Source organism: Homo sapiens, chromosome 20 (assembly GCF_000001405.40).
Source record: "Homo sapiens chromosome 20, GRCh38.p14 Primary Assembly".
Lineage (NCBI taxonomy): Eukaryota > Metazoa > Chordata > Mammalia > Primates > Hominidae > Homo > Homo sapiens.
In genome coordinates this window covers 49,955,642-49,968,698 of record NC_000020.11, presented here as the reverse complement: position 1 = coordinate 49,968,698, position 13,057 = coordinate 49,955,642, and the positions used below count along the sequence as shown (strand labels likewise).

General features: G+C 47.8%; 1 pseudogene, besides 6 other annotated features; it reads right to left on the bottom strand.

The window, feature by feature from the left end:
• Positions 1,314-1,904: an enhancer, noted in NCBI's record as "H3K27ac-H3K4me1 hESC enhancer chr20:48583332-48583922 (GRCh37/hg19 assembly coordinates)". NCBI's record gives its function as "activates a minimal SCP1, AML or CMV promoter by ChIP-STARR-seq in naive H9 embryonic stem cells {active_cell/tissue: H9 hESC(naive)}" and the evidence as "EXISTENCE:reporter gene assay evidence [ECO:0000049][PMID:30033119]".
• Positions 1,905-2,496: an enhancer, noted in NCBI's record as "H3K27ac-H3K4me1 hESC enhancer chr20:48582740-48583331 (GRCh37/hg19 assembly coordinates)". NCBI's record gives its function as "activates a minimal SCP1, AML or CMV promoter by ChIP-STARR-seq in naive H9 embryonic stem cells {active_cell/tissue: H9 hESC(naive)}" and the evidence as "EXISTENCE:reporter gene assay evidence [ECO:0000049][PMID:30033119]".
• Positions 3,398-3,567: an enhancer, noted in NCBI's record as "experimental_60755 CRE fragment used in MPRA reporter constructs". NCBI's record gives its function as "activates a minimal promoter by MPRAs in K562 erythroleukemia cells, with activity observed for the non-introgressed 20:48581754 variant allele {active_cell/tissue: K562}" and the evidence as "EXISTENCE:reporter gene assay evidence [ECO:0000049][PMID:34662402]".
• On the bottom strand, positions 10,612-12,000 carry KRT18P4 (keratin 18 pseudogene 4; annotated as a pseudogene).
• Positions 11,255-11,504: an enhancer, noted in NCBI's record as "active region_18078". NCBI's record gives its function as "activates an Ori minimal core promoter by ATAC-STARR-seq in GM12878 lymphoblastoid cells {active_cell/tissue: GM12878}" and the evidence as "EXISTENCE:reporter gene assay evidence [ECO:0000049][PMID:35858748]".
• Positions 11,255-11,667: a biological region, named in NCBI's record as "Sharpr-MPRA regulatory region 11781".
• Positions 11,373-11,667: a silencer, noted in NCBI's record as "tiled region #11781; HepG2 Repressive DNase matched - State 25:Art". NCBI's record gives its function as "represses a minimal TATA promoter and a strong SV40 promoter by Sharpr-MPRA in HepG2 cells {active_cell/tissue: HepG2}" and the evidence as "EXISTENCE:reporter gene assay evidence [ECO:0000049][PMID:27701403]".

Genomic DNA, 13,057 nt, shown 5'->3' with positions numbered 1-13,057 from the left:
GTAGCTGGGACTACAGTCGTGTGCCACCAAGCCTGGCTAATTTTTGTATTTTTAGCGGAGACAGGGTTTCGCCATGTTGGCCAGGCTGGTTTCAAACTCTAGAACTCAAGTGATCTGCCCACCTCAGCCTCCCAAAGTGCTGGGATTACAGGCGTGAGCCACCGCACCCAGCCTCTGTCTCTCTCCATCTGTTTCTTTCCCCCTCTCTCTGCTTCTATAGATCTCTCTCTCTCTCTCAGTCTTTCTCTTGCAGTCTCCCCGACTGTCAGCCTCTGTCCCTTCTCAGAGACTCTCTCCTTTTGACCCAGCAGCTCTGCAAACAAAATAATCTGACAAGTTGGGGAAGATGTATTTTTAAGGATGCTCACTCTAGTACTGTCTGTAGGAGTCAAGCTGGAAACAACCTAAACACCTATTGATAAACAAAGTATGCTCTGTCCCTACCAGGCAGCATCATGCAGCCATTTGAAACACCAGCACATTAACATGGAAAGATATTGACATACATCAGAGTGAAAAACACAACTTATAGATGGAAAGTAAAGCATTCACGCATTTCAGTTTCAATCAAAAATATAATGCCCCAGGCCGGGTGAGGTGGCTCACGCCTGTAATCCTAGCACTTTGGGAGGCCAAGGCGGGTGGATTGCCTGAGCTCAGGAGTCGAGACCAGCCAGGGCAACATGGTAAAACCCTGTCTCTACTAAAATACAAAAAAAATCAGCCTGGCATGGCGGCATGTGCCTGTAATCCCAGCTACTTGGGAGGCTGAGACAGGAGAATCACTTGACCCTGTGACCCTGACCCTGGGAGGCGGAGGTTACAGTGAGCCGAGATCGTGCCATTGAACTCCAGCCTGGGTGACAGAGCAAGACTCTGTCTCAAAAAAAAAAAAATATATATATATATATATATATACACACACACACACACACACACACACATATACACACATATATATATATGCACATATATACATATATATAAAACGACCCAAAGACATGTAAGAGTTTCACTGCTGATTGAAATAGTCATCCTGGTTGTCTCAGGGACGGGGGATAGGGGAGGCAGGGAGGGAAAGGGGGGCGGGGGGGTAGGAGTAGGAGTGGCTTCCATTTTCTTCTTTATATTTTTCTTCCCGGTTATTTTTTTTTTAACAAGGGGCATTATAATTTTTAACACTGTGCATTTTTGCATATTTACTTTATTATACCTTACCTGCGTGTTCATGTGTGTGTGTATATATATTTTTATATGCACGTACACTATTATTTTCTAAACCATATCAGAGTGGATTAGAGATGTCATGCCCCTTTACCCCTATACTCTTTACTGTATGTCTGCTAAGAACAAGGACATTCTATTATGTAACTCTGATATCATTATCAAAATCAGGAAATCTAACATGGATCAATTACTTATTCCTTATTCCATAGGCCATATTCAACTGGCCCAATAACATCCTTTATAGCAACCCCCACACCCTCAAAGATTCAATTCAGGATCATGCAGCATTGCAGTGTTGTCAGGCATCTGTAGTTTCTGATGTTGACATTTTGGAAGATTTGTGGACTGTCCCTCAATTGCATTTGCCTGGTGCTTCCTTATGATGACACTGAGCTTGTATGTTTTCCTGCCTGGAACCACAGAAGTGGTGCTGCCTCTTCAGTGCATCCCATTGAGTCATCTATGGTCTGTTCCATTATCTGTGATAGTAACTTTCATCGCTTAGTTAAGATGGGATTAGCTAGGTTTCGCCACTAGCAGTGATTCTACAAAGTCACTAATTTTCCCTTTCTAAATAATGTATGTGATCATCTGAGACCATGTAAATAGACTAGTTTTTTGTTTTGTTTTTTGAGACAGTGTATCACTCTGTTGCCCAGCCTGGGGTGCAGTGACGGGATCTTGGCTCACTGCAACCCTCCACCTCCTCAGCTCAAGAGATCCTCCCACCTCAGCCTCCTAGCTGGGATTACAAGTGTGTGCCACCAAGTCTGGCTTATTTTTTACATTTTTTTGTAGAGACGGGGTTTCACCATGTTGCCCAGGCTGGTCTCGAACTCCTGGGCTTAGGTGATCTTCCCACCTAGGCATCCCAAAGTGCTGGGATTACAGGTGTAAGCCACCACGCCCAGCCCTAGATGATTTTTATAATCAGAAAAGGTAATCATCACTTTAAATTCTTGTAACCTGTAAGGGCTGAGCTAGTCCACCGATTCTAATCACCGGGCGCCTCCACCCCACCCCTGTCACAATGTGTTTGCTGTAGCACTATCCGGTCTTTTTTTTTTTTTTTTTTTTTTGAGACGAGTCTCGCTCTGTCAGCCAGGCTGGAGTGCAGTGGCATGATCTTGGCTCACTGCACCCTCCACCTCCTGGGTTCAAGCGATTACTCCTGCCTCAGCCTCCAGAGTAGCTGGGACTACAGAAGCATGTCACCACGCCCAGCTAATTTTTGTATTTTTAATAGAGATGAGGTTTCACCATGTTGGCCAGGATGGCCTCGATCTCTTGACCTTGTGATCCAACTGCCTTAGCCTCTCAAAGTGCTGGGATTACAGGCATGATCCACCGCGCCCTGTCTTTCCGGTTTTACATTACATAAGGACTTTCGAAATCAGCCTACAGATAGATTTCACCCGAGGCTTTTTTAAAGATACAGATTCCCAGGCCCCACCAATTAGAATCTCTAAGGCAGGGACCTGAGAATAGATTTCTGTAGCGAGTGCCTTCCAGGTAATTCATCTCTTCAGGCCAAATTAGGGAATCACTTCACTTCATAGTAATGTTTAGTCATCAAACATTAACAGCTAGCCTGCTGGGGTGGGGTTGGGCCCTGGGAGGGCTTAGGAATGGAGGGGACAAACAATAGTGACATTGGTAGCTCGCATTGATTAAGCACTTACATTGTGCCATGCTCTGGATTATTTCACTAAATTCCCACAACTCTACGAGAAAGACACTTATTAGCCCCATTTACAGATAAGCACAGATTAGAATAACTTGTCCAAGGTCAAGCTAGTGAGTGATCAGCTGACCCCTAGATCAGCTAGTGAGTGTGGATGCTGGGAATAGGAGACTCCACACAGTCTGTGTGGGGGACTATACATCTAATCGCACCTCTGCACTGGAATATCAAGTCTCACTTCTTGTCCTGGGCAAATGACCTCAGCTTCTCTGGGCTCCATTCCCTCATCTGTAAAGGTAATGCTATTTAGTATCCCTCCACCAATGCTGGCTAAGATAATTCCATGAGATCCACTTTCCTGGAGAAACTGAATGCCTGGTTTTGATCACCTTTCAGGGCCTAAAGTGGGGAGGATTAAATCAAAATTATTGTCAGGAACCAGGAATGAAAATAATTACCATCATTGTTGCTATTCTTGTATTCATAGGGCCCAGCTGAGCCCTGCATGAGACATTCAGCAGAAGACACCGCAGAAAGCCAAGGAGTAACAAGGGAGGAATAAAGGGACCACATTGAGGACCTGAGCAGGTCAGACCCCACCTGGCAGTAGCCATCTTGCCTGCCCACCTGTCTTGCCTCCTCTGCCTTCCAAGTTCCAGTTTCATGTGCTTCCGATTTGAGGCCCTGCCTCCCCATGGTGATGGACAACAGGAAGCCAGAGCCAGGGGGTGACACTGCCCCCTTCAGGCTCTCCTTACCGCTGCACCAGACTCCTTCCAGGGTGGACAAGCTGCCATGGAAAGAAAGTAACCACTGGAAATTCTTTTTTAGTTCTATTTCAATTCTAGGAACATTTATTGAGTCTACCCGGGGTCAGGCATGGAGGCCGGTGGTGCATAAGACAGACACAGCCATTACCCTCAAGAGCTTAATTTCTTGTAATTGGACAAATAACTTAATGAGAAGGTGTGAGTTGCCTGGCACAGAGCAGATGTTCAGAACATTTGTTCTGCAAACATGTCGAGTAGGGTTGCTAGAGTTAACCAATAAAAATACAGAATGCTCAGTTAACTGTGAATTTCAGATAAACAGCAAATAATTTTTAGGATGAACATTCCTGGCATTTACTTCCTGGCCTGCTTGTGCAAATTATTCACACTCGTATGCAATATTTGGAAAATATTTATACTAAAAAAGTATTTGGCCAGGTGCGGTGGCTTGTGCCTATAATCCCAGTACTTTGGGAGGACAAGGCAGATCCCTTGAGCCCAGGAGGTAGAGGCTGCAGTGAGCTGTGATGGTGCCACTGCACTCCAGCCTGGGCAATGAAGCAAGACCCTATCTGAAAAAAAAAATTTTTAAAAAAGGCAAAGATGGGCCTGGGGCACCAAATATTCCAGAGGAAAGGGAACGTGTGTACTCCTTGAGGTGGGGAACATGACCCACTTGAGGTGCAGAAAGAAGACTTGTATGGGGCTGGGCGCGGTGGCTCACCCCTGTAATCCCAGCACTTTGGGAGGCCGAGGCAGGCGGATCACCTGAGGTCAGGATGTCGAGACCAGTCTGACCAGCCTGAGAAACCCTGTCTCTACTAAAAATACAAAATTAGCTGGGCATGGTGGCGCATGCCTGTAATCCCAGCTACTCGGGAGGTTGAGGGAGGAGAATTGCTTGAACCTGGGAGACAGACGTTGCGGTGAAGCAGGTTGGGTTGCGCCATTGCACTCCAGCCTGGGCAACAAGAGCGAAACTCTGTCTCAAAAAAAGAAAAAAAAAAAAAAAAAGAAGGCCCGTGTGGTTGGAGTAAAAAGAGTGCAGAAGTAGATGTGAAAATATCAACCTAAATAACAGAGAGAGAGGCTCTCTAAAAGAGAAAGGGTCCTCAGCCTCCTGAGTAGTTGGGACCACAGGGGTGCATCACCATGCCTGGCTAATTTTTTATAGAGGTGGAGTCTCGCTATATTGCCCAGGCTGGTTTAGAACTCCTGGCCTCAAGCTATCCCTCCTGCCTCCACCTCCCAAAGTGCTGGAATTACAGGTATGAGCCACTGCACCTGGCCATATACAGTATTTTAAGATAACAACCAGAATCATGACTGACACAGTCACACAAGAAACATCAGACTTTTATAAATTGAATATAATCTTTAGAATATTCACATTAATTGGCCGGGCGCGGTGGCTCACGCCTGTAATCCCAGCACTTTGGGAGGCCAAGGTGGGTGGATCACAAGGTCAGGAGTTCGAGACCAGCCTGGCCAACATAGGGAAACCCTGTCTCTACTAAAAAATACAAAAAATAAGCCAGGCTGGTCGTGGGTGCCTATAATCCCAGCTACTCAGGAGGTTGAGGCAGGAAAATCGCTTGAACCCGGGAGGCGGAGGTTGCAGTGAGCTGAGACTGTGCCATTGCACTCCAGCCCAGGCAATAGTGTGAGACTCTGTCTCAAATTAAAAAAAAAAAAAATTCACGGCCGGGCGCGGTGGCTCACGCCTGTAATCCCAGCACTTTGGGAGGCCGAGGCGGGTGTAGCATGAGGTCAGGAGATCGAGACCATCCTGGCTAACACGGTGAAACCCTGTCTCTACTAAACAAAATACAAAAAATTAGCTTGGCGTGGTGGCGGGCGCCTGTAGTCCTAGCTACTCTGGAGGCTGAGGCAGGAGAATGGTGTGAACCTGGGAGGTGGAGCTTGCAGTGAGCCGAGATCGTGCCACTGCACTCCAGCCTGGGCAACAGAGTGAGACTCCATCTCAAAAAAAAAAACAAACTCACATTAATAAAATATCCAGATAAATTTAACTTTAGAAGAGATTAACATAACCAAAATTATGACAGATAATATTAGGTATCTATGAATTTATATAATTTTTGAAATATTTATATCAATAACAGACCCATAAATGTAACTGAAAGATCTAGTAATAGAATCACTTATCACTTGACAATGCTTCCTGTACAACTTACCAGATAAACCTAATCATTTAATATCTCTACAAGCTGAGAAATACATCATTAGAGGCCCTCCACTGGCCCAACTGCAAAATCCCTAAGTTCATTCCAGTTCAAACAGACTTAATTGGCTTGGGTGTGGTGACTCAGGCCTGTTAATCCCAGCACTTTGGGAGGCTGAGACATGAGGACTGCTTGAGGCCCGGAGTTCCAGACCAACCTGGGTAACATAGTGAGATTCCCATCTCTACAACAAAAAATAAATACAAATTTAAAAGAAAAAGAAAACCTGCCAGGCAAGGTGGCTCATGCCTGTAATCCCAGCCCTTTGGGAGGCCGAGGGGGGCAGATCACCTGAGGTCAGGAGTTCGAGACTAGCCTGACCAACATGGTGAAACCCTGTCTCTACTAAAAATCATGGTGGTGTGCGCCTGTAATCCCAGCTACTCAGGAGGCTGAGGCAGGAGAATGGCTTGAACCAGGGAGGCAGAGGTTGCAGTGAGCCGAGATCACGCAACTGCACTCTAGCCTGGGCGACACAGCAAGACTCTGTCTCAACAACAACAATAACAAAAATTAGGTGGGCGTGGCAGTGTGCCTGTAGTCCAAGCTACTCGGGAGGCTGAGACACGGAGAATTGCTTGAACCTGGGAGGCGGAGGTTGCAGTGAGCCGAGATCGCGACACTGCACCCCAGCCTGGGTGACAGAGCGAGACTCTGTCTCAGAGAAAAAAAAAAAAAAAAAGAAGAAGAAAACCTGGGCCAGGGGCAGGGGCTCACGCCTGTAATCCCAGCACTTTGGGAGGCCGAGGCAGGCGGATCACGAGGTCAGGAGATTGAGACCATCCTGGCTAACACAGTGAAACCCGGTCTCTACTAAAAAATAGAAAAAATTAGCCGGGCGTGGTGGTGGGCACCTGTAGTCCCAGCTACTCGGGAGGCTGAAGCAGGAGAATGGCGTGAACCTGGGAGGTGGAGCTTGCAGTGAGCTGAGATCGTGCCACTGCACTCCAGCCTGGGCGACGGAGCGAGACTCCGTCTCAAAAAAAAAAAAGAAAAGAAAAAAGAAAACCTAGTTGTTTTAACATAGGGGATATGAATTTTTTAGTTTTCTATCAGTGTATTTTTAATCTATCTTTAGAAAGACGTAGAAATAATTCCCTTCTAATTATAGCCAACTTGATGACACACAAAATGCCTTTCATAAGTTCTCCCTTCATGAACACCATCATGACTTATTCAGACCATTGATGATGTGCTTTGACTCTGTGCCCTGTCTTATACTTCCTCTTCATTAAATACCAATCATTTTACTTTAGAACATAAATTTACCAGAGACTCTTTCCCATACAAAATTATTCTTTTCAACTTTCCTTTTAAAAAATATATCTTCATAACCATAACTTCCTTCATATCTCTGTCTCTCAGTTATTGGTTTTCTTACTATCTTGTTTCTATTTCCTTCATAAGTCCATATTTTCTTTTTTTTTTCTTTTCTGTTTTTGAGACAGAGTCTCGCTCTGTCGCCCAGGCTGGAGTGCATTAGCGCAATCTCGGCTCACTGCAAGCTCCTCCTCCTAGGTTCAAGTGATTCTCCTGCCTCAGCTTTCCATGTAGCTGGGACTATAGGCACGTGCCACCACGCCCAGCTAATTTTTGTATTTTTAGTAAAGATGGGGTTTCATCATGCTGGCCAGGCTGGTCTCAAACTCCTGACCTCAGGTGATCTGCCCGCCTCAGCCTCCCAAAGTGCTGGGATTACAGGCGTGAGCCACCGCGCCCAGCCAGCCCATATTTTCAAAAAACTTACATAATCTCCAAATTAAACAAAATTATTCTTTTATTTTCAATAAAGAACACATTTTTTGGCCAGGTGTGGTGGCTCACGCCTGTAATTCCAGCACTTTGGGAGGCCGAGGTGGGCGGATCACGAGGTCAGGAGATTGAGACCATCTTGGCTAACACAGTGAAACCCCGTCTCTACTAAAAATACAAAAAAATTAGCCAGGCATGGTGGCGGGCACCTGTAGTCCCACCTACTCGGGAGGCTGAGGCAGGAGAATGGCGTGAACCCGGGAGACAGAGCTTGCAGTGAGCAGAGACTGCACCACTGCACTCCAGCCTGGGAGAAAGACTGAGATTCCGTCAAAAAAAAAAAAAAAAAAAAAAAGCGCACACTTTTGGCCAGGCATGTGGCTCACGCCTGTAATCCCAGCACTTTGGGAGCCTGAGGAGGGCGGATCACTTGAGGCCAGGAGTTCAAGACCAGCTTGGGCAACATAGCAAGTCCCTGCTTCTACAAAAAAAAAAAAAAAAAAAAAAATTAGGTGGGTGTGGTGGCACGTCTATAGTCCCAGCTACTTGGGAGGCTGAGGCAGGAGGATCACTTGAGCCCAGGAGTTCAAGGCTGCAGTGAGCTATGATTGTGCCATTATATTCCAGTCTAGGGGATAGAGTGAGACCCTGTCTCTAAAACAAAACAAAACAAAAAAGCCTCTACCAAAAAGAGGGAGGCTCAACCTGAGAGAAGACTCACCAGGGCAGAAAAGGGGAGCCATGGAAGCAGTGCGCTCAAAGGGCTCTAGTGAATACTGTACACCAGTTCCAAGAATCACCGATTTCTTCCAGTACTAATCTTTTTCAGGTCCCATTTCTGACACCATATATGTCAACCTAAATAACAGAGAGAGGCTCCCTAGAAGAAAAAGATATTTAGTCGGGAATAGAGCATTACCATGGGAATACATTTGTCATAGCAAACTACTGCATATTCAGGGAGGTAAAGGAAGACAAAAGCTTTTGTTTTGTTTTTTGAAACAAGTTCCCCCTGTCGCCCAGGCTGCAGTGCGGTGGCACAATCATAGCTCCGTGAAGCCTTGAACTCCTGGGCTCAAGTGATCTTCTCGCCTCAGCCTCCTGAGTAGCTGGGACTGCAGGCACGTGCCACCACACCTGGATAGACAAAGGTTGGTTCTTTTTGATGATCAAGTATCAACCAAGCTATGGAACAGACAAAGTTGTTTAAAGGACAAAATGAGGGTTACTTTTTAAAAATTGTTATTTTTTTTTATCTTTGAGATAGGGTCCCGTTGTGTCATCCAGGTTGGAGTGCAGTGGTACAATCTTGGCTTATTGCAGCCTTGACCTCCTGGGCTCAAGCAATCCTCCTGCCTCAGCCTCCTGAATAGCTGGGACCAGAGGCGGGTGCCACCACACCCAGCTAATTTTTTTTTTTTTTTTGAGGTTAGTCTGGCTTTGGTCCTGAACTCCTGGGCTCAAGTAATCCTTCTATCTCTGCCTCCCAAAGTGCTGGGACTATAGGCATGAGCCACCGTGCCCAGCCTACATAATTAAAAATAATTTTTTTTTCAAAGACGAGATCTCACTATGTTGGCCAGGCTGGTCTCTAACTACTGGCCTCAAGCGATCCTCTTGCCTCGGGCCTCCCAAAATGTTGGGATGATAGGCGGGAGCCACTGCGCTGGGCACATAATTTTTTTGAAAATTTATCTTTGGCTACAAAGATCATTAACAAGGGTGAAGGCAGCGTGAGGTTGTACAGGCAGTTGCTGGGCAGATGTCCTTGTAGAAGTATTTTTTGTATAAAGTTGCATTCTGGGCCGGGTGCAGTGGCTCATGCCTGTAATCCCAGCACTTTAGGAGGCTGAGGCGGGAAGATCACCTGAGGTCAGGAGTTCAAGACCAGCCTGGCCAACATAGTGAAACCCTGTCTCAACTAAAAACACAAAAATTACCCGGGCATGGTGCTGCGCGCCTGTAATCTCAGCTACTAGGGAGGCTAAGGCAGGATAATCGCTTGAACCTGGGAGGCAGAGGTTGCAGTGAGCCAAGATCATGCCATTGTGCTCCAGCCTGGGCAATAAGAGTGAAACTGTCTCGAAAAAAAAAAAAAAAAAGTTGCATTGCGATGGCCTTTGTGCAAGGTTGTGTTTTTGCAGAGTCTTTTGTGATGGTTTTTGTTATCAGGCATGCAAGCATTCACTGCATAGCCTTCCCTGACTCTGTGTCAGGGTTTTTTGGGGGTTTTTTTGAGACGGAGTTTCGCTCTTGGTGTCAGGGTTGTTTTGTTTAATACTGGTGACTACGTTTTGATTCTGACCTTTCACAAGAAGCCGACGTTGGAGACGTAGGCAGTTGGCAGAGGTCACAGGGTCTTGAGGACCCTGTGAGGTGTGGGGCTTTGAGGGTAACTGAAGCCACTGAAGGGTTTTAAAGGATATGGTCGGTCACATTTGGATTTTTGGAAGATCCTTCTGGCTGCTTGGTGGCGGAGGACTGGATGTTGGCTGGGCAGCAATGGAGAGAGGTCAAATGGAAAGTTGTGGCAGTATTTCAGATGAGATCACAGTGGCTTTTAAGATGTAGGTGCCGGCCGGGCGCGGTGGCTCACGCCTGTAATCCCAGCACTTTGGGAGGCTGAGGCGGGCGGATCACGAGGTCAGGAGATCAAGACCATCTTGGCTAACACGGTGAAACCCCGTCTCTACTAAAAATACAAAAAATTAGCCGGGCGTGGTGGCGGGCGCCTGTAGTCCCAGCTACTCGGGAGGCAGAGGCAGAAGAATGGCGTGGACCCGGGAGGCAGAGCTTGCAGTGAGCTGAGATAGCGCCACTGCAGTCTGGCCTGGGCGAAAGAGCAAGACTCCATCTCGAAAAAAAAAAAAAAATGTAGGTGCCAGTGGGATGATAAGAAAACACAAATGTGGGTTTTGTTTTGTTTTTTTACCTCTGAACTTTTTATTGGCCTCCTGTTTCCCAAAGGGTACCCTGCTTCTGCTGGCTTAATGTCTCAGAACTTTGGTGTCGTTGGTCTCAGACACCACTTTGCCATCCACTGTCTGGCGGGTGGTGGTCTTTTGGATGGTTTGCATGGAGTTGCGGCTGTCCAGGGCATCACCAAGATTGAAGTCCTCGCTGTCTTCCAGCAGGCGGCAGTAGGTGGTGATCTCAGCCTCCAGCTTGACCTTATGTTCAGCAGGGCTTCCTACTCCTGGGCCTGGCACTGTCCCTCTGCCTGGGTCTGTGCCAGCTCTGACTCCAGGTACAGCAGTATCCCACTGAGCTGTTCCATCTGCAGGAAATAGCGGGCCTCCACCTCCCTCAGGCTGTTCTCCAAGCTGGCCTTCAGATTTCTCATGGAGTCCAGGTCGATCTCCAAGGACTGGACTGCATGTCTCAGTTCTGTGAGTCATCTCAGCAGTTCCAACCTCGGTGGACTGCGTGGTGACTTCTGTAGTGTTCTCCTCAATCTACTGAGATCAGTACATGTCCAGCTCCTCTCTGTTCTTCTGAGCCAGCTTGTCATATTGGGCCTGCATGTCTGTCATGATCTTGCTGACGTCCTGAGATTTGGGGGCATCTACCTCCACAGTCAACCCAGAGCTGGCAATCTGGGCTTATAGGCCTTTTACTTCCTCTTTGTGGTTCTTCTTCATGAAGAGCAGCTCCTCCTAGAGAGCCTCGATCTCTGTCTCCAGCTGCAGCCAAGTGACATTGGTGTCATCAGTGACCTTGCAGAGCCCATGGATGTCGCTCTCCACAGACTGGCGCATGGCCAGCTCTGTCTCCTACTTGACTGTAAAGTCATCAGCAGCAAGACAGGCATTGTTGATCTGCAGAACAATGCAGGCATTGTCCACAGTATTTGTGAAGATCTGAGCCCTCAGGTCCTCGATGGTTTTGAAGTGATGGCTCCAGTCTCTGACCTGGGGTCCCTTCTTCTCCAGGTGCTCCCGGATTTTGCTCTCCGGCTTCCAGTTCTTGGTCTCCAGGCTCCTCATTCTGTCCAGGTAGGAGGCCAGATGGTCGTTCAGGCTTTGCATGGTCTCCTTCTCGTTCTGGATGCCTCCCATTCCTGCCAGATCCCCAGCCATCCCCCCGGCCAGGTCCCCGGACCCCATGCCGCCCCAGAAGCTGGTGGAGTGGGACTCGGAGATCCGGGAACCAGAGCCCCGGGCACCTGCATAGACGCTAACCATACTGCTGACCGGCCGGGCGCCATAGCTGGGCGCCTGGACAGAACCCAGGGACCGGGTAGTTAGTGGAGAAGGTGGAGCGAGTGGTGAAGGTCATGCTGTCCAGTGGGGAGAGCGAGAGGACAGGACTCAGGCTTTGCCAACATTATTTTTTTGTTATTTTTTTGAGACGGTGTCTCACTCTGTCGCCCAGGCTGGAGTGCAGCGGCGTAACTGCGGCTCGTTGCAACCCCTGCCTCCAGGGTTCGTATGATTCTCCTGCCTCAGCCTACTGAGTAGCTGGGACTACAGGCACCCGTTACCATGCCCAGCTAATTTTTGTATTTTTAGTAGAGACAGGGTTTCATCATGTTGGCAAGGCTGGTCTCGAACTCCTGACCTCAAGTGATCTGCCCGCCTAGGCCTCCCAAGTGCTGGGATTACAGGTGTGGGCCCCCACATCTGGCCCAAATGTGTTATTTAAGAGCTAAAATTAACTTGAGGCAAGAGAGCAAGAATCTGTCTCAAAAAAATAAAAATAAATAAAATTAACTTGATTTGGTAATATGGGGCATGGAGGTGGACAAGGAGTTAAAGATGAGGTGTGGGTTAATTCTTGAGCAATTAGAAGGATGGTGGTTACGTCTGCCGGGAAAGAGAAGCCAAGCACACAGTGTGGGGTGGTAGGAAGGTGGTGGATGAGTTCAGTTTGAGCCATGCAGAACTTAGAATGCCTTTATTTATTTAGAGATGGAGTTTCACTCTTGTTGTCCAGGCTGGACTGCAATGGCGCAATCTTGGCTCACCGCAACCTCCGCCTCCCGGGTTCAAGGGATTCTCCTGCCTCAGCCTCCAGAGTCGCTGGGATTACAGGCATGCACCACCACGCCTGGCTAATTTTGTATTTTTAGTAGAGATGGGGTTTCTCCATGTTGGTCAGGCTGGTCTTGAACTCCTGCCTCGGCCTCCCAGGTACTTGAGAGGCCAAGGCGGGAGGATCGCTTGAGCCCAGGGGTTCGAGACCAGCCTAGGCAACATGGTAAAACCTCGTTTCTACCAAAAATACAAAAATTACCTGGGCGTGGTGGCTACGCCTGTAGTCCCAGCTACTCGGGAGACTGAGGTGAGATGACTGCTTGAGCCCAGGAGGCAGAGGTTGCAGTGAGCCAAGATTGTGCCACTGCACTCCAGCCTGGGTGACGGGGTGAGACCTTGTCT